The following is a 21,589-nucleotide window of genomic DNA, read 5'->3' on the forward strand; positions in this document are numbered from 1 at the left end:
CCCCTGGGCCTTGATGGGAAGGGCTGATGTGAAGACCTCTGACATGCCCTAGAGCTATTTTCCCATTGTCTTGGCAATTAACATTTGGCACCTCGTTACTTATGCAAATTCCTGCAGCCTATTTGAGTTTCTCCCAGAAAATGGGACTTTCTTTCTATCACATTGTCAGGCTACAAATTTTCTGAACTTTTATGCTGTGTTTCCCTTTTGAAACTGAATACAATTAACAGCATCCAAGTTACCTCTTGAATGCTTTGCTGCTTAGAAATTTCTTCCACCATATATCCTAAATTATCTCTCTCAAGTTCAGAGCTTCACAAATCTCTAGAGCAGGGGCAAAATGCTGCCAGTCTCTTTGCTAAAACATAACAAGGGTGAACTTTGCTCTAGTTCCCAACAAGTTCCTCATCTCCATCTGAGACGACCTCAGCCTGGATTTCTTTGTCCATATCATAATCAGCATTTTGATCAAAGTCACTCAACAAGTCTCTAGACAGTTCCAAACTTTCCCACATTTTTATGAATTATTCTGAGCCCTCCAAATTGTTCCAACCTCTGCCTGTTACCCAGTTCCAAAGTTTTTTCCAGATTTTTGGGTATATTTTCAGCAGTACCCCACTCTATTGGTACCAATTTACTGTATTAGTTCATTTTCATGCTGCTAATAAAGACATAGTCATGACTAGGTAATTTATACAAGAAAAAGTTTTAATGTACTTACAGTTCCAAGTGGCTGGAGAGGCCTCACAATCATGGTAGGAGGCAAGGAGGAGCAAGTTACATCTTACGTGGATGGCAGCAGGCAAAGGGAGAGAACTTGTGCAGGGGAACTCCTCTTTATTAAACTATCAGATGTCATGACACTTATTCACTATCACAAGAACAGCATGCGAAAGACTTGCCCCCATGATTCAATTACCTCCCACCGGTTCCCTCCCACAACATATGGGAATTCAAGATGAGATTTGAGTGGGGACACAGCCAAACCAAAACCATATCAATGCCCATGTTTGTAGTAAATCAGATGAGGTTAGCAGGAAGGGAAATATGTAGCCTGGCTAGGCCTTCATCACAAGGGAACCATGGTTGTTATGTGGGAGGGTGGTAGTGAGGTTAACTCCGCCTGGAATGCCAAATTAGGAAGAGTGGAGAGTTTAATTCCTAAAGGGAATAAGAAAGTGATTCTTAACAGACAAAAAAAAAAAAAAAAAAACCCAGATTATCACTACAATATAATAAGGCTTTGGAAAACAGCCTATAAGCAAATGAAAAACACATATTTTTCTGCAGTGCAACTATAACTAGTTTAGATAATGCTAAATCAGTTTAATAAATTCTGTAATATTAACTGACAATCATTTCTCCTTCATTTTTATTCTTTGAAAATGTGTAGTTTCGCTCAAAAGCTCCTCTTACTAGGTCTGTTATTTTACTAAATTTGTGTTTTCCAGTTTGATAAATTGAGTTAAAGTAAAGATATAGTGTTATGTTTATACTTTGCACATGTAGTCGAGTGTTAAAATATATTTTGAGTTAAAGAGAACTATTATAATAAAATAGTAGAAAATGTATACATGAGTTCCATTAAGAAAAATGAAAAGTAACAAAACATTTTTTCCTTCTCTCTGATATAAATACATACACACCTATACATAGAAAAAGAAAGAAAGGAAGAAAGACTTTAAAGCATAAAAGAGAAAAAGACAGAAAAATCAATAGCATCATCTATATATATTTAGTATTGATAGATACAGTAGACAGCCAAATGCTATCCAGGTCATTGTGCTCAGGGGGCTTGCCTAAACATGCCAATGGAGAAAAATTCCATCCATTAACATATGCGCAGTACGGAAAATAAATCTGTGTGGAGTGGCTCAGAATAAGGGCCCACCTGGCACTGGGAGAATGGGGTGGAGCCACTGGAAATTCCCACCTTATTCAGGGGGGAGGTGTCTAACGTCTTCAGCTCATGTATTATGGCCTGGTATTCAAACTGCGAGGTGGGAGCCTGTTGGCAGAGCCCCCTTTTTTTTGCTAAGAACTTTCTTTTAATAAATTCCACTCTCCTCACCTTTCAATGTGTTCACGTGCCTAATTTTTCCTGGTCATGAAACAAGAACCTGGAGTTTAGCTGAACTAAGGAGCAAAAAGTCCTGCATCACTTTGATGGCTGGAACAGGGACATGAGGAAAGGTGAGTAAAATGCGAACCAAAAAATATCCTTCCCTTTTGTTTCTGAGACTTTATATCCTCGGACTTCTTCTGAGGGTAGAGGAAACTGCCACCCACCCCTGCCCAGTTGCTCTCAGTTGCGAGGAATGTCTGCCTTGGCCCAAACCAGTCTTTTGTATGGCATCTTCCTCCTTTTTGGGACTGTAATGGCACCTATCTTTTCATTACCCTAATGGCTGCAGGCATGCACGTGGGAAGAACACATGAACGGCAGCTCCCTGCACCCTCTCCCCTTTCAGCTGGGTCCCAGACACATGGCCCGAGGGGCCTGTATAGCAGGCCGGCCAGCATTCCCTGCCACACATCCACAGGGTCTTCCCCTTCCCCTAGCAGAGAGGTCCAGCTCAGTCCAACAGCAAGTAAAATTTCTCTCCCTGTAGGAGAAACCCATTGGCAAAGGAATTAGAGGTTCTTCCTTCAGGCATCTTTCCGCCCTGAACTTTAAGCTGTTTTTTTGTTTGTTTGTTTGTTTTTTCTTTTCTCCACCCTGTCGACAGTTAACATAGCCCTGCACTTCAAGCTGTTTTTTTCTTTTCTCCATAAGCTCAGGAGTTAAGTTTTATATGAGAGGCTTTTTTTCCCCTCTTTTAGAAAACATTTTACTAGGCCAGGATCCCAAATATCACTGTTTATATTCTCTGTAAAGTTTTAGTTATGAAAAAGGATTTGTGAGTTTGGTCTTAAGCTATAGCCAATCTGGCATGCTTTGCCTGTCTTTCTGTATGGCTCTGTCAGAAAGAAGGACACCTTAAAATGAGATGCAGGTCTAGGACTCCATAGGCCTGCTGTTCAAGTCAGCCAGGAAAACTGGTCAATAGCAAACTTTGCTGTAGGCCTCCATCTTGTTTTATGTCCTTGGAAGTGTGACCTGTAACCACATAGCAGTGCTTTGTTTTAGCCTGTGCCATTTTACAATGGTGGCCCAGGTTCAATACTGGCTTATGGAATGAGTTCTTTCTGGTTGGATATCTGTGTGACCTTTGCCATTTGATGATTTTTCTTCCCCTCTACAAACAGTCCTGAAAATTCCTTTCTCTGAGCTCCTGGGAGGTTACCTTTGCTAAAGTTAGAAAGCCAGAAATATTGGCCGCTTGACATGGTTAAAGTCAGGTAATAAGGGATCTAAAAGGATTTTCTTAAAGATCACTCAGCTTAATTAAAAATGGATATGCAAGTTGTAGGTGTATTTAAAAGGCCTTTATGTTTTTCTCTTCTTGGATCTTGTTTTTCTGGAAAAAGGTTTTTTTCTCAGTCTACTGAATTTTTTTTTTTTCCATTTTGCCTTGGCACTCTTAATTCTTGCATGAGAGGTCCTAAGATAATTTCTGATGGACTGGGACTCCTTGGGAAAAGCAGAAAAGGTGCCACAGATTCTATTTTGGGAGAGACCTCTGTTTTCCTCCTGGCTCCTCAGGAATTAGAGGTGGATAGTTCCCTCTCAAAAACTGTTTTTGTCTTCCAGCTACACCTGTTTATTGGGCTGTAAAAATAGCATGCTTTCCTAGCCTTGCTCTTAAAGGATTCCACCTGGAGGACAATACTCCAATTACGAGATTGGCAAATGGAAAATCTTATAACTACTGGATCTGCTTCTCTTTGTCTGTGTGGTTATATATGTGTTGTGTGCGGTATATATAAAAAGAGCTCTAATTAATTGACTTAAAGAAGGATAAGTGCTTGGATCAAAACTGTGGTACCTTTTAGTTCATGTGACTTTAATCCTTGAGAAATAAAAATGGCCTTAAAGGTATTGGTAAAATGCAGATGTTGTCAAAATGTAAATTTTTGCCTAGGGTTAAAGGATTGTTTTGAATTAAATAAGATACAACTAAAACAAGATGTAGACAGATTGTAAAAATTAATCTTGAAAAAGAATTTCCATGTGTGAACATACTGACTAAATTCAAAAGGGTATTGCGTGGCTTTTCTGTAAATTGAGCATTGAAATAAAAGCACAACGAAGTTCTCTTAAGGCACCAATCTGCACTTTAGCAAAAATTGTAAAGGTTTTTGAAAGGATTTTGCTTTTTAAAAATCTCTGAGTCATCATTTTGACAAAATAAATCACTGTAATCTGAAATTCTCTTTTACAATATCAAGAGTTTTAAAGATCTAACATAAGTAACAGCCTTCCCAAAATCAAACTTCAGCTTCAAAATTTGTCTTTCCTGGCCCCTGGAGCATCCAGAAGAGTGGTAAACATGATTACCTGACATGATTAGGTACATGGCATTACCAAAATGATGTTTAATTGTTTTCAGGTTATATTTTAGGGACTAATGTTAACATATGTTTCAAAATTATATGGGATTTCTAACATTCTAATGTCTGAGTATATACTGTCATCACAATTAAGGTTGTTAGGTTAAGTTATTGTAAACCACGGAGATAACCAAACTTCTTTGCCTATCGTGTTTTTGAATATAACTACCCTGGATATGTTGTTATGCACAGACAATTGTTGTCTTATTTTGATCCTCTTTAGGAGATGTTTGATAATCAGCTACAGAATTTTGACAGGTGCTCTCAAATGCAGGTTTCTGATAACTTTGGAGATTGTGATATTGGAATAAAGTAAACATGTACAGGACTCATGAAGTGCTGAAACATTCACAAATATCAAGCAAAATAAGAGTAAACTGAATGGACTGAAATAATAGGAAACCGAAAAAATCTTTTTGACTTTTGTTTGGAACATTGCTGATCCTTTTTTTGTTTTGCACAGTCAAGAAAACTTACTTTGAACTATTTATGGTCTTTAATAATTGGGTAAGCTATACTCCTGTGACCAAAATTTGGAGCATATTTGTTTCTCTCTCTGCCTGGCTTCTCCAGAATTTGGAAACTAGTTTGTGAGTATTCTTATCTTATGCCAATATAGTTGTTTGTATCTGTGCAATAAGAATCAATTTTCTTTTGTAACAGCACACAATTAGAGAAACTGGTTGTTTTACCAAGGCTTTGACTGGAAGGGTATGGTTCTCTTTAAGGAGTCAAGCTCAACTTGCAGAGCCAATAAATGCCCCTTGGGAAAACTGGCCTCATACCTTATCTACACAGTCCCCATACAGGGTTCTTAACCTGAGGGGAGTAAAGAATGTCACCTTCTAACAGGCCCAGGAACCCCATGTTCTTGGGACCTCAAGAAGAGAGGAGTTCACCCAACTCGTAGGTATTTGAGGGTACAAACCCATGGCTGGGCTTGGCTTTAACAAAAGCCCTATCTGAGATTCCTTGTAGAACAGAATTCCATGAACACCAGTTTAAAAAGGCTATGTAAAATCAATTATAATTGCTGCACTTTATGCAAATAATCAGGCCCAGTATAAGGCTAAAGTCTATTCTGCAAACAACGCAGTCTTACCATGATTTGTTTTTAATGAAAATGAGGACTGGAGAGAAATAAATTATGTTTCAAAACTGATCATACACTTGTTATTAAATTCTAGACTCACTAGTTGTTTTTAAGTTTCTTGCCTACATTGTAGACTAATCCTTGGTTGTTCCTGTGAACAAAGCAGCAATCTCCAACTGCAGCTCAGAAGGAACAAAATGGATGGGTAATGTAAAAATCTGCATCAATATTCTAGTTCTGAGCAATTACGTTGCAAATCCTGCCAGGTGATGGAAATAAATAGGGTATCCATCACCCCAAGTTTTCCTTTTTGAAAGTAAGACCAAGGGAGATAACCAAAGCCAAGCCCCATGCACCCAAACCTTAGCAAGCATAACCATAGCCACCAGTTATCTGGGCATATCACAAGGCATCCTTTTTTCTCCCTTGTTGGAGGAAAACTAAATTCCCACCCCCACCCTCCGCACCCCCGCCTGGCCCCCTGTTAACCTGGGTGAAAGCTACTTTAACATCCATCGGCAGCACGCTGTTGCGGTCCCTGGGACTTGGAGATATAAGGATGGAAGACAGAAAGAGCAGTGCCTCACTTTGTCTCCCTCGTGTAGCCCGCGTATTCGCTAGGAAGAGAAAGGAACCTGGGATGACTTGCTCCCCTCTTTCTAGAGAAGAAGCCATTCATCTTCAGTCTGTACCCCTTTCAAATGCATCCTGAACCCCTGGGACTGCTTTGATAAAAGTCCCCTCTTTTCCCCTCCTTTGTCCTCTCTTCACTGATAGGTAATTGTGTCTGTATTACAGGACTCTCCTCCCAGATGCATCCTCCAAAACTGGGCAAAGTTAACTTCCCAAACCTTAAACTGGTTGGCTTAGGATTGGCCTCAGGGAAAGGGAACCCAGAAGCCTGACATGCTGGCAAACGGGTAAAAGTCATTTTTTTTCTTTTCCAGTTGGGTTTTTGGTCTCCCTCTCTGTGTGCAAACTGGTAAAAGGCCTTGGGATTTTTGAGCTTTCCTTACCCCCCAAAACTTGTTTCACTTTGATACATGTTTTCTAATAGCCCAGTTTGTTTCTTCTCACCTTCAATCCATCTGACTCCAAACTGTCATGCAACCAGAGCCTCAGACAATGGCCAATCTTGCCAGGGACCCTTAGATAGGCCTCTGAGGGAGATCTGATTTCCCAAACAGCGCCCCCTGCCAGCAGGAAGCAGTTAAGATCGATCTTCATCCTTAACCCTTATCCTTATTCTAATAGCAGTTAGATGTACTTTTTAGAGTGGGGAATGATAGAGACAGGAGACAGCCAAATGCTGCCCAGGTTATTGTGCACAGGGGGCTTGCCTAAAAATGCGGATGGTGAAAAAAATCTATCTCTTAACATAAGCACAGTAAGGGAAATAAATCAATGTGGAGTGGCTCCAACTAAGGGCCCACGTGCAAAATGGGAGAACTGGGTGGAGCCACCAGGAATTCATGCCTTATGCAAGGGGGAGGAGCCTGGCCTCTTCAGCTCATCTGTGAGGTGGGAGCCTGTGGGCAGGACCTGTTTTTTGTTGTTGTTTGTTTGTTTTTTGTTGTTGTTTGTTTTTGCTGAGCTCTTTCTTTCAATAGATTCTGCTCTCCACACCTTTTAATGTGCCCTCACGCCTAATTTTTCCTGGTCATAAGATAAGAACTCAGATTTTAGCTGAACTAAGAAGCAGAAAACCATCCATCAATATGATATACAGATATTATGTGTATACGTCTGTATAATATCATTTACAGATGTGTGTGTATATATATCCCCTTGAAAATATTTTATTTCTATGTATTTAAAAATGCAAAATAGTTTTAAAAAAACTAATTACCAAATGCTTGAAATTAAAAAAGAAAAAAGATCTCTGGTTTAACATATATATATATATATATATATATATATATATATATATATAAATTTAGGTTAGGATCACACATTCTTGTGTACAAAATTATTACAAATCATGTATAAATAATATCTGAGACAAAACCAAACATACATACAGAAATGTTAATTTAATTAAAAAAGAATAATACATTCTTTGCAACAGGAGCTATTCTAAAGAAGTATCAAACTAAAATAAGAAAGTAGAAAATAATAAAGGCAATAATTAAGGTATTTAAAACCAGAAAAGAATAAAATTGACTATTTTGAGACTGGCTTTGGGCCATATACTCTATCTTAGAATTCACAGAAGTAATTAATTTAGCCAATGTTTTCAGCTTATAGAGCTGTCTACTCAGAACATTGAACACTATTCTATTTCCATGGAAGCTTTTTCTGACCTGACACCCACAATTGTTTTTTTTTTCTCCCAGAATGTTTAATTTAAAATGACTTCGCATTTTTCCTCATTTAAAGACACACATGGACACTTATTTTTTGTAAAACTCACCAACACCCTTAAGAAATTTCAAAACCCTACATTCTACTTCTGCGCTATCTGAATGCGTATCGTCATGGTCATCCCTTCTTTAAAAATGATTTTTTACATGCCTCTCACCTCTTTGTGCTATCAGCCCTTCAGGGCACAAGTTGTTTTTCATTATCCTTTACCTGCACAGAGCCTAGAATACAGAAAGTGCTTAATTTTTATTTGTTGATGTAATGAGTGTGTGTGTGGTGTAGGGGTGTGTGACAGTGAGAGAGAGAGAGTGGTGGTGGGGGTTAGGGGGAGTTCATGCATAGGTGCACTCACACACAAGTATTTATGATTAACTATCAGAGTTGGCAGATGGGGGTAATGGTTAGTTTTACTCAGTATAATACCCTCAAATCCAAGTACTTTTATTCTATGGGTATTGCCAGGTCTCTTTGATAACCTTAATAGAGCATCAGGAACTCTTTTAGTTTCATCTAAATTGCCAATGTTTAACTTTCTAAACATTTAGAAATGATGCCGTAATTGTACAGTATCCTGTTGTGATTTGTGTCTTGAATACTAAATGTAAATAACTAACGAACCAAAGTCAGAATTTTTTGCTGTAAAACAAATGAATTTTACAAATTTTATTAAAATCAGGCTTTGTTAAAGTTGCTAGAATGAATGTAAATCAGGGACAAGAATGCTTGATTGATCAGTGTCTCATTTCCTGCTAAGTAAATCAAGTAATTGTGTCTTGAAGCCTCAAAGCACTCCAATAAATATTCAAGAACAACTCAGTGATAGATTATTTCACAAGAAAGAAGATTTAGACAAGACTTGATGCATTCTACCTGTCTTTGGCAGGAAGTTTAAAGTACAACTTGAAATGTATGGAGACCTTGCCCAAGGCAACAGATACAAATGATTGCCTACGTGGAGAAATACTTTTTAATCAGTAGATTATCCAACAAGATGGCAAAATTCTTACTTGTTCAGCAGTTCAACAAAGCATTTCTGTAGGTTATTCTGTTTTCAAATAGTAAAAATGTCTTTCCAACTTTCCCCAGCCACTTGCCTCATTTCTTTTAACCCCTAAATTGCAAATCTCTTGCGTTCTTTTTATCAATTCAGTATAGATAGAAAGGAAGACAGCAGAATTCAAACTTCAGTTTTTATATCCTATTTTAAAATGTTAGATTCCTTGAATTTAACGCACAGTGTGATATAGTTAATACTTGAGAATTGTACCTTTCAAAATTGCTAAGAGTGTACATTGCAAATGTTCTGACCATGAAAAGAAATGTTTGAAGTGATGGGTATGTTAACTAGTTTGATTTAATTATTCCACATTGTATTCATAAATGATAATATCACTTTGTACCAGATAAATTTATACAATTATAAATTGTCAATTAATAATAAATATTTAAGATAAATATAAACCTAAAACATAAACATAAAACATTAGATTTCAAGACATAACTCCATTTATAGCTCTTTAGTGAAAATTGTTGATAGAATACAGACAGAAAAAAGTTCTACTATTAAAATACACACACAGGAAATTTCATTTCTGAAAGATTATGTTATGAATTGATTTTGATATTGTCCTCTTGAGGTTATGTGTGTGGCTTCCTTTAACCAGGAAAGTCTATCTAAAATATTTGTGAATTGTGTGATACAAACACATATGCTTTCTTCCTTAAACAAAGGTTGCTTTTGTTCCAAATAAAAAATAAAATTGTGGAATTAATTCCAGTAATCAAATATTTTGCTGAAACCAATAATTATCAAATGTTTCTTCTAGCAAATTTCTGAAAGGAATCATTACATTGTTCTGTCAACCATGAAATTGACTCATGATCTTTCTATCCTATCACTGGATTTTTAGGTAGCCTTCTCAATTACACAAATAACAAAACAGAGGTGATATATTAACATCTGAGGTAACTTTCTAGGAGTGCCAATTTAAATTGATATTGAAGAGTGGAAAAAATATACCCTCCAAAACACGTCACTTTGACATAAGGATTACTTTGAGCTGAAGTCACTTAAAAACAGCAGACACAAGAAAGGCATTCTAATCTCTTTCTCCCTGAAAACAGGAGATTAAACACTCCTGTGTGAAAAATTCCTTTCCTGTATCAGGAGAAATGAAATGTTCTTCAATGGGGTGTCGTAGCTGAAATAATTAGGTACAAATAGATCTTGTTAGAGTAATTATTATCTTTCTTTAGCCTCCCTATATAATTTAGTTACTTTTCCACAATTGCCTCTCTTTGCTCAACCTAATATAAAAGCATTTCGGTTTTATCACTTCTTTGTGTCTTCATTTCTTTATATTTGTATGATTTCCTCTGTTAATTTAACTTATGCCAACTTAATTCTCAGGCCTTGCTAGAAACCTAAAGGATAGAGGTAAAATTTTGCCTCCCCTACTGTTGAGAAAGAGAAAATAAAATTATTTTCCATGTATCCCTTGCACCTTTTCTTCACTTCCAACACATTCTAAATTTTTCTGGTAGGCTGTTAACCCTAGCGTTAAGAAAATGAAATAAAACAAAGAAAATAAATAATAGCAACTGAAACTCACAGACATATTGAAGTAAGAAAACATAAAGGCAAAAAGAAATTAACATTTTTCACAAAAAAAGGAAACAGTTGACGAAAGAAATGTAAGTTAAAAAAATCAACATAAAGGGGGTACAAAAGTCAAATGATGAAGTATATTAAAAAGGTAAAAAATGCATTTTGATGGAATACCATTAAGCCATGCAAATTAATCATTGTTAATATATGAGTTATAACTATCTTTTTACCCAAATCCACCTGTCCAATTTCTTAGTTATATATCTATCAAGTCCGAATAGAAAATATTGAGTTCAAATATTGTACTGTGTCTGAACCAATCAGCACTTCTCCATTTTGCATTTAAAATATCTGCACACATTAAATAATACTAGTTGGCAACAAACAATCAACTTTGGCCAAAAGTCCTAAATTTCAACAAAAGCATCCTTTGACACAGGTTGGCTAAGATGTCTTGAGTCTGTGCATCTTAACATTTTCCCCGTCTAGTTTGTGAATAGGCTGTGTCCATTCAATATAGATTCAAAAGTAAGCAACAGCTGAATATTTTAGGTTCGGAGTACCACTAGCAACGATCAACAGACTGGATTTAAATTATTTAGGACTTTGGGGCTCTCCTGAGAACTGTTGGATACTAGGGTATTCAACATGATTTTGGGGATAAAGGTTGATCAGAGAAGTCGTGGCTCAGAAAGCACTGTTTGAATCAAAATCTAAAGAGTTAGAGACATTTTAGAAATTGCTAAGGAGGGAGATTAGCTCGGAGGAGAGATAAGACGTATCAGGGCTCTCAAAAAGGAGCAAATATAGGACATCTTGAGGGTGAATAACAGTCTTGGGGCTGACAATGCTGGCTTGTAGACAACCCAGAGGGAGGCTGGGGTGAGATCAGAGTGGAGATACTACTGAAATGCCAGAGGTTCCGTGGAAGTCCCATCCATCACTGCACAGAAAGCCAGTGAGACAATGACTATTGCCAGGGAATAAGGTGACTTTATTTATTTGGGTGACTTCAGCTGGAGAAATGGCTGAAAACTGTTTCTCTCAACGAACTAAAATTGGAGGTTTATATAGCAGGGAAGGAATGCAGCTACTTGTGGGAAAACAGAAATTAGGGAGGGGTAAGGAAATAATCATGAGTAGTGAAGGAGCTGGAGACGCATCGTCTGGATCTGGTGATCTGGTTTCAGTTCCTTGCCTGAGGGGTCAATATCCTGAGGCAGGAACTAAGATAAGACAAACATAAATTTCAAGAGTAGTAGGTTCATTTTTTGTATTTATTCAAAAAACTATAAATATCAGTTCTATGGCACAATTGGGTCATTTTCAAAAAGTAGGCTGCAAATGGAGGGGAGGTGGTTAATCTTAATTTTAGAAGCTACAAGAAACTTTTTGAAAGATTCAAAATGTATAGCAACATGATAGGAGTTTACGTATTTTAGGATACTGACTGCAGTGTAGAAAATACACTGAGATTGGAATAAGAATGGAAGAAGAGACACCAGAGAGGTGTCTGTCTATTGTACTTGCCCATGGCAGAGATTGTCATGGTTGAAAAGAAGGCGGAGTCAGAAGAGAGATGTTAAAAAATGTTTAAGAGATACTGTTGACGGAACACTTTGGTCTTCTACAATTACCAATATCTTCTGTTAGATCTGAGTCTTCTAATTAGAACGACTTGGTAGTAGTTCCAGTCGTAGATTCTATCAAGTGGTTCTAATCACTTCAGATCTTAATGATTTTTTTTTATCTGCTCATATTAAAACATAGTAAAATAGAGGCTTCCTCTTTAAGAACGCACATTCCTTGGTTTAGGAATGGCCAGCATCCCTATTCCTTCCCAACTCTGAGGGGCTGCTTCCAGTTCTTAGATCTGAATTCATACTGCAACTTTTGTTTTTTGCATCAATTATAAGTTTTAAACCTAGACTCAGTTGTCTAATTTGCCCCTCCTTTATGACGTGGATATCTGAACACCAAACCTTTACACTATGTTTATGTTTTCTAGCTAGCTTGTGCCAGTAATGATTACGAAGCAAAGGAAACCAAGTACTTTAATTGTTCATAAAGAAGTTCACAGCTAGAGTTATTCACTTGTGTTAAAGCAATAAATGGTAAAGAAATTGTCTTACTACTGAAGAAGAATGCTGATAAATTTATTGAGAGTCCCTAGCATTCTTCAAGTTGTAATATTAAATAATTGATGTTGCTAGACATTTTAGTTTCTCCAGAGAGGACACTTTGTTGCCAGGAGAGCTGTGCATTTTGAGAAAGACCTAAGGACACACTCCAAGGAATATGTATAAATTATAACCATAATTATGTTCTGTCTTCAGAGCAGAGATACAGAGTGGTTTTGATATATTATTCACAGTTGCAATCAGAGGAAACTGAGTCATAAGAAATTTAATTAACATTTTTGATGGCATGGAGTTAATTTGGATGGTAAATGTAGATGAACTTGTAAAAAACTACTTTGCATAATGTACTAAAGCCATTAAATTTTCATAAAGAGATCTCTAATCCTAGTTCAAGAATCCATATCAATGCTATAGGATAATTTGAGACACATAATGTCTTTATTTAATTTATTTTTATTAAAATGACTTGCTTTTATACTTCAGACTCTGCTTTAATTATCACATTTTATGCCTCTTATTCAGACATATAAAAAATGTAGTTTTCTTTTTAAATTTATGTATGTATTTAATAAACAACTCATGTTATTTGTAGAATAATTTTAAAAAATGTGTATAGTAAGAAAAAGGCATCCACAATGTCAGTACTTCAAAGTAACCCTATGGAGTATATTTATGCCAATGTTTTTTACACATAGATACATACATATTTAGGGTTTTTAAAATTTTGTTTTGATTTTTTGAGAAATTAGATCATGTAACACATATCAATTTGTAGCATTTTTTCTTTTAACACTATATTATGAATTTTATTAGGTAACTATATATATACACATATTTATTTATTTATATGATTATTTAATGGCTGTGTGTTTCATTCACATATTTTCTGACTATATATTAATATTTTCTTTAGACAAGTTATTTGCACATGTATATTATATTACCACATGATATTAGTATATTATATTACCTCATAGCCTTTAAAAAAGTGCCAAAATGAGGGGAAGCATGGATCAGCCTTGTTTGGGAGAATAATGCCATCAATAATGACCAGGCCCAATATTTGAATTCAATAACAACTGTCAATCATGCCCAGTAGATTAACACTCCTAATACATTTTTTTTTTCCTTTTAGATTTTACTAGCTGGGGAAGATTTTATTTTCTTCCTTTATTCAATAAACTCTTACCTATTCTTCAAGACCAATATCAAATGTCCATTTCTGTGACCCAACTTCATTTCTCCTGGGGCATTAGTTATTCCTTTTTCTATACATTTAAATTCATTAACACCCTCCATTACAGACTTTATTGGCCTACCTTGTTAATTTCTTCCACAAGGTTATTTGTTCCCTTAATAGGGGAAGCATGTGTTATTCATTGTTGTATTCTTAAAACCCCTACAGTGTCTGGCATAGAGCAGTAATATGTTTATGAAGGCCAAGATGCAAGATGCTCTGGCATTTAAGGGGCTGGTATTCAGTCATTAAACATCAATATATATATATATTTTTTTTTTTGAGACAGAGTCTCTCTCTGTTACCCGGGCTGGAGTGCTGGAGTGAAGTGGTGCAATCTCGGCTCACGACAACCTCCACCTCCCAGGTTCAAGAGATTCTCCTGCCTCAGTCTCCTGAGGAGCTGGGATTACAAGCACCCACCATCGCAAGTGGTTAATTTTTGTATTTTTAGTTCAGACAGGGTTTCACCATGTTGTCCGGGCTAGTCTCCAACTCTTGACCTCAGGTAATTCACCCATCTCAGCCTCCCAAAGTGCACAAATATACTTTTGTGTGTGATTACAATATTAAAATACCTCCATTTTCTGTAGTAAGCTGCAGCTGTTCGAAGCTCTCAAGTGCTCACCTTTTCTTTTCTCTCAGAACTTCCATATGCTCCAGGAACTAAATGTTTAATATCTGAAATATTAAAAAGGTCTTTAGGAACTACCTGCTCCAGCATGCACATACCGTAATCTGTTCTCATGGTCTGTGACTCTTCAAGGCGAATAATTTTAATATTATTTTTCCTCATAGATACATCACATTGCATTTCCTGTTGGACCATTATTACATTGACTAACTTAGGATATTATCAATATTCAGAGCTATGAGAAGATACATCCAGGGAGGTTTGTTGTATATGTGGTGATGGTTTGCTTTTTTCTTTTTTTTTTTTAATTTCCTACACTTCCAGAAAACTCACAAAAGTCATTAAAAAATAAAGGCACCTTCTATTTATTTTCATGTCAATTACTGTACAGTAATTCTGTTCCTTCTATGTCTACAGAATACTGAGAAAATTTTACAAAAGTTACCTAACCTTTTGTAATCTACTTTCTATTACGAGAGCAAATGGAGTGTAAGACGAGCTGAGTTACTTGCTCCTTTTGAACTCCTGAACTGAATAGGGTAGTGCACGAGTAACTTGTGACACGAGTAACAGCAGCCTGTTTACCATTAGCTAAGAATCATTTTAGAGCACTGAACACCTTTGAGATTCTTTTCTCATTTAGACTTTCAAAATTTCTACTCTTGATTAACATAACACAACCCAAAGACATTGCTTATTATTCCTTGACACTGAAAATAATTTTGCGAATTTGTTGTGTATACAAACAAGTTTTTCTAATCTTACAAAACATGTTTAACTACATTGCTGATTAGCTTTAGTTGAGTGGAGTTTTTATAACATGGTTGTAGCTATTCTGGTATACGATGACTTTCAAAACAGTAAAATGCAAGTATGGTGTTGGTGTAATAAAATTTTTCCACTAATACATTTGAAATCTGAATCGTCTATATTTTAAACCTATATAGTGAGCTTTATTCTGCCTTAAAAATTAGAGGGAAACAAAATTAAAAATTTTTGGAATACATTTTAATCCCATTTTTTAAATTATCTGAAGATTTTCAAAATCACTTATTTATGTAAGGTTGCTAGTGAAGTTATACATGGCTACCTGTGTTTATTAATAACTTGTATTTTTCCAAATCTAGTTTTGCCCCTGTTACTACTTCTAGAGGATTTAGAATGACTGCAGGGAGAAGAGAAATGGAAAATAGTATGAGGTTTCAGAGTATGATAAGGGAAACAGAGTGGGGAGAATTAGAAGGAAAGTCTTGTAACTCAAACTCCCATACCATCCTTCCAAATCAGTTAAATTCTTCTCCTAGGCTAGATTCCTTCACAACCCTCTCTGATTCTTTCAGAGCCAGAACTATTATCTTAGAGCTTGACTCATTTTCCTCTAAGATGATTTATCTTGACAAAAATCTCATCCTCTAGTAATCATCCCTAGAGAGACTCCAGTAGATGAAGAAACATTTGGACCACGGATCTTTCTCAGGTGGAGCTTTTGATTATGGAATGTGGTTGAAATGATACTTATACCTCACTTTTTAACAATACATTCCTGAATATTAGTGTTTCAACATTACTGGTAGAAAATCCTGGAAAACAGAGTATTGCGTTTTGCTCAATGAAGGAGGTAAAAATATGCCACCTGCTATAGCAAATAACTATGTATTATAGATTTTAAGACAGCTAGAAGTTTTTGCATGTTGTCACCACAAAGAAATGACAAATGTTGAAAGTGATGAATACAATAATTACCCAAATTTGATCATTATACCATGTATACATGCATTAAAACATTACATTATAACAGTGCAGCCATCAAAAAGAATGAAATAATGTCTTTTGCAGCAGCATGGATGGAATTGGTGGACATTATATTAGGTGAACTAACTCAAAAGCAGAAAATCTAATATGGCATGTTCTCACTTTATGTAGGAGCTAAACATGGGTCCATGAGGACATTAAGATGGAGATAATAGACACTAGGAACTCCAAAAATGGGGAGTATAGGAGAGAGTGAAGGCTGAAAAATTATTTATTCAGTAAAACATTCAATATTCAAGTGACGGATACACTGGTAGCCCAATCCCACCATTATACAATATACCCATGAAACAAACATGCACATTTACCCCTGAATCTAAATTAATAAATAAAATTTAATATCTCTTTGAATTATACAACATGTATTTCTGAAAAAAAGAAATACTACAGTGTACCATCTAAATATGTACAATTATTATGTGTCAATTATAAACTTAAAAATTTAATTTAAAAAAATGCCACCTTGGTTATTGTTTGTTTCAATTAAAGGAACTTGAAAAACAACAGGTACAAGAGGATCACTCTGACCTTTGCTCTGTGTCTTAAAAGTTAAAGATGAAATTCTTATGTAAAATGTATCCTTCCTATACTAGAAAAAAGGCAATGGTCTTATCATCAAAGATGGAAAGGTGAGGCCGAGAGAATTCTGTACAACAGCAAACCTTGTTAAACTAACCCTTATCTGTCCAAGTAAAGACTCTCACCTAAGCCCCTTTGTCTTATCAAATTCTCAGTTTACCATTCTTTGTTTCATCAGTATACAGGTAACTGACTCTAACTGCTTCTTTGGGGTTTTCATTTCTTTATAAGGGTGCCGATGCCACATGAAACTTACATGAAGTAAATTTCTACGCCTTCCTCTTGTGAATCTGTTTTACATCAATTTAATTATCAGACCTAGCCAAGACCCTGAGAGGATACAGGTAGAGTCTTGCTGCCCCTACACTCATGTATTGTAATTACTGCTTTATTATTTCTAGAAAATCTTTGATTGCTGGTTATGTCTTCTTAACTCCAGCTGGCTTATTCAAACCAGTTTTCTTCATTTTGGGTGACTATGCATTTAAGATATTAGGGCATTAGAAAACAAATAAAAATTATTTCATATCCACGAATGTTAAGTATTCAGAGCTAAGAAAGAGACAGTATTTCTGGCTGCCAGAGATATTAAAATCTCTAGAAAGTGGTATGTCCCTTTCACTGCTACAGCCACCGCCATGAGTATACTCAGGCTTCAGAAGAGGCTCGCCTCTAGCATCCTCTGCTGCGGCAAGAAGAAGGTCTGGTTGGATCCCGGTGAGACCAGTGAAATCGCCAATGTCAACTCACGTCAGCAGATCCGGAAGCTGATAAGAGATGGGCTGATCATCCTTAAGCCTGTGCCTGTCCATTCCCAGGCTCAATGCTGGAAAAATACCTTGGCCGGCCGTAAGGGCAGGCAACATGGGCATAGGTAAGCAAAAGGGTACAGCCAATGCCCGAATGCCAGAGAAGATCACGTGGATGAGGAGAATGAGGATTCTGCGCCTGCTGCTCAGAAGATACTGTGAATCTAAGAAGATTGATTGCTACATGTATCACAGCCTGTACCTGAAGGTGAAGGGGAATGTGTTCAAAAACAAGTGGATTCTCAGGGAACACAGCCACAAGCTAAGATAGACAGGGCCCGCAAGAAGCTCCTGGCTGACCAGGCTGAGGCCAGCTGGTCTATGACCAAGTGAGCACGCAAGTGCTGTGAAGAGCGTCTCCAGGCCGAGAAGAAGGAGATAATCCAGACTTTGTCCAAGGAGGAAGAGATCAAGAAATAAAAGCTCCCGCTTAGTCTGTACACACTGGCCTCCATGATTACACAGATCAGCCATTAAAATAAAACAAGCCTTTATCTGCTTAAAAAAAAAAAGTGGTACATAATAGTAGTGACTATTAATTCTCTATATTCTCCTGTAGTCCACATGAAGTACCAATGCACTTTATAGAAATAGGCTCGCCGATTTTCTAAGTACAAACTTGGTTTCCCTAAGAAAAGATGTACTGCTTATCAAACACACACACATCTCTATAAATTAAAGATATTACATAATTCCACTTTGTGAGGAAGTCATTACTTGCATTCCAATTATTAAACACTATCTCCCCTCATAGGCAAGGTGCAAATTACATTAATGCTAGTGTACAGTTTTATACATATAATTACCCAAAGTATTTTGAATGGATACAGATGGCTTTCAGTTTATCTTCAGATTTTCTGTGTAATCTTTCCCCAAATCGCCATTCACTCCTATGAATAAATACAATTTTGCTGTTAAATGTCTTAGTTGAGCGAGCGTTATAAGGAAATATTGACATATTTTCCCTTTATGATTATACCTGATGATTTCTACTTGAAATATAATATTTTTCTGAGAATTGGTGAGACAGAAGAATTCAGACAACAAAATTGTCATTTCTATAGTCTAAAGTTTTGAGCAAAAAAAAAATTAGAATTGATGTTTGAATTTCCTGCTGTTTTTGCCTGAGGTGATTCTATTTTACAGATGAACAATACTGTTCAAAATGTTTGATAGCTGGATCACAACTTCAAAGGGATAATCGAAAAATACCTCTTTGTAGTAGCTATACTTTAAAGTCTGTTGTTAACAGCCTTCAGTTTAAATTGCTGTCTTCTGGCTATGTATTCTCAGATTGAAAATCTACAGAGTTACTTCATTTACTCTTGTGTAATACAGTCTGATTACTGATAAGCTTCTAGTTTCGGTGACTATTTGTAGATTATATTTTCTATCTTTTTGCTTAATGAAGTATTTTTATAAGCTGTATTTTTCATTTGATCTTAATGGCCTAAAAAAGATCAAACTTTGTTTTTAATTTGCTTTCAAAAATATTCAAATTAGAACTTGCATTTCTCAGTTCACTGTGTTGGTGATGATTATCAGAATGAAATGGTAAATACAAGAAAGTGCATCTTTTATGGCTGGATACACCCATCAACAGAAACAAACACAAAAAAAATGCTGCTCTTTTTTCAAATAAGCTAGAGAAAGCATCTGTCTTACTATAAACAGTATACTTCACCAACCATGTAAGAATTTATTTTTATTGTCATGATTTAGCTGGTTGAAAGTGGCTTTTACCAGTCTGCAAGTTACTCACTGTTTTGATTAAGGAGGCTTTCTAAAGAGACACTGATGGACTGCAGTAGATAGTAATTTCCTAAGGTAGAGGATCTATGACTAGTGCTTCCCTCACTATCTTTGCAGTGCTTAGATGTCATCAACATAAAGACAGTTAAGAGAACTGATGACCTACAAAAACCCTCTCAATATTTGTAGTATAGAAAGACTGAGAATTTGAAATCTAGGAACATGACTCTTTTGTTATTATCAAAGTTAAATGGAAAGTAGATCTAATGACATGATGGAAATAGAATAGGAATTTTACTCAGCATGTGGTAAAAAGATAATTGAAGAAAATATAGTTGTGTTACAGGAAGAATGTAGTAGGTTTAACTCAAAAGAATTCTTTTATACTCATGTTAAATTATAGAAATTTTATTGCCACTAATTCAAAGGTTATGAGTTGAACCAATTGGATATTCACATAACAAAGTTATATATTTTACCAGGCAGATAATAATGACAATATACACATTAGGGTATATTTCACTGAATGGGTGAATTACAATGTCAGAGTGGTCTTGTGGGTAATGGGACATTTAGCTCTATTATGAAGAAAAGTCAACCGGTATATTTTGATGATTGCACAGGAAAATATAGGAAATACTAATTCTGGCAATGAGCAATACTATACTACAAGGCTACAGTTACCAACGCAGCATGGTACTGGTACCAAAACAGATATATAAACCAATGGAACAGAACAGAGACCTCAAAAATAACACCACACATCTACACCCATGAGATCTTCAACAAACCTGAAAAAAAAAAGCAATAGGAAAAGGATTCCCTATTCAATAAATGGTGCTGGGAAACTGGCTAGCCATATTCAAAAAAATAGAAACTGGCCCCCTTCCTTACACCTTATACAAAAATTAACTCAAGATGGATTAAAGATTTAAATGAAAAACCTAAAGCCCTAAAAACCCCAGAATAAAACCTAGTCAATACTATTCAGGACATAGGCATAGGCAAAGATTTCATGACTAAAACACCAAAAGCAATTGCAACAAAAGCCAAGATTGACAAATGAGATCTAATTAAACTAAAGAGCTTCTGCAGAGCAAAATAAATTATCATCAGAATGAACAGGCAACCTACAGAATCGGAGAAAATTTTTGCAATCTATCCATCTGACAAAGAGCTAATATCCAGTACCTACAAGGATCTTAAACAAATTTACAAGAAAAAAAAACCCTCAAAAAGTGGGCAAAGGATATGAACAGACACTTTTCAAAAGGAGAAATTTATGCGGCCAACAAACATATGAAAAAAAGCTCATCGTCACTGGTCATTAGAGAAATGCAAATCAAAAACACAATGAGATAACATCTCACGCCAGTTAGAATGGCAATCTTTAAAAAGTCAGGAAACAACAGATGCTGGTGAGAATGTGGAAAAATAGGAACTCTTTTACACTGTTGGTGGAAGTGTAAATTAATTCAACCACTGAGGAAGACAGTATGGCGATTCCTCAAGGATCTAGAACCAGAAATACCATTTGACCCAGCAATCCCATTACTGGGTATATACCCAAGGGAATATAAATAATTCTACTATAAAGACACATGCACACGTACGTTTACTCTTTACAATAACAAAGACTTGGAAACAATCCAAATGCCCATCAATGATAGACTGGATAAAGAAAATATGGCACATATATACCATGGAATACAATGCAGCCATAAAAAGAATGAGTTCATTTCCTTTGCAGGGACATAGATGAAGCTGGAAACCACCATTCTCAGCAAACTGACACAGGAACAGAAAACCAAACACCACATGTTCTCACTCCTAAGTGGGAGTTGAACAATGAGAACACATGGACACAGGGAGGGAAACATCACACACCAGGGCCTGTAGCGGGGTGGGGGGCAAGGGGAGGGAGAGCATTAGGACAGATACCTGATGTATGCGAGATTCAAAACCTAGAAAACAGGTTGATAGGTGCAGCAAACCACCATGGCACATGTATATGTATGTAACAAACCTGCATGTTCTGCACATGTGTCCCAGAACTCAAAGTAAAA

At 36.2% G+C, this 21,589-nt stretch overlaps 1 pseudogene; it reads left to right on the forward strand.

Annotated features, from left to right (window-relative positions):
* RPL19P8 (ribosomal protein L19 pseudogene 8) lies at nucleotides 17,577-18,270 on the forward strand (annotated as a pseudogene).

This window comes from Homo sapiens, chromosome 4 (assembly GCF_000001405.40).
Source record: "Homo sapiens chromosome 4, GRCh38.p14 Primary Assembly".
Lineage (NCBI taxonomy): Eukaryota > Metazoa > Chordata > Mammalia > Primates > Hominidae > Homo > Homo sapiens.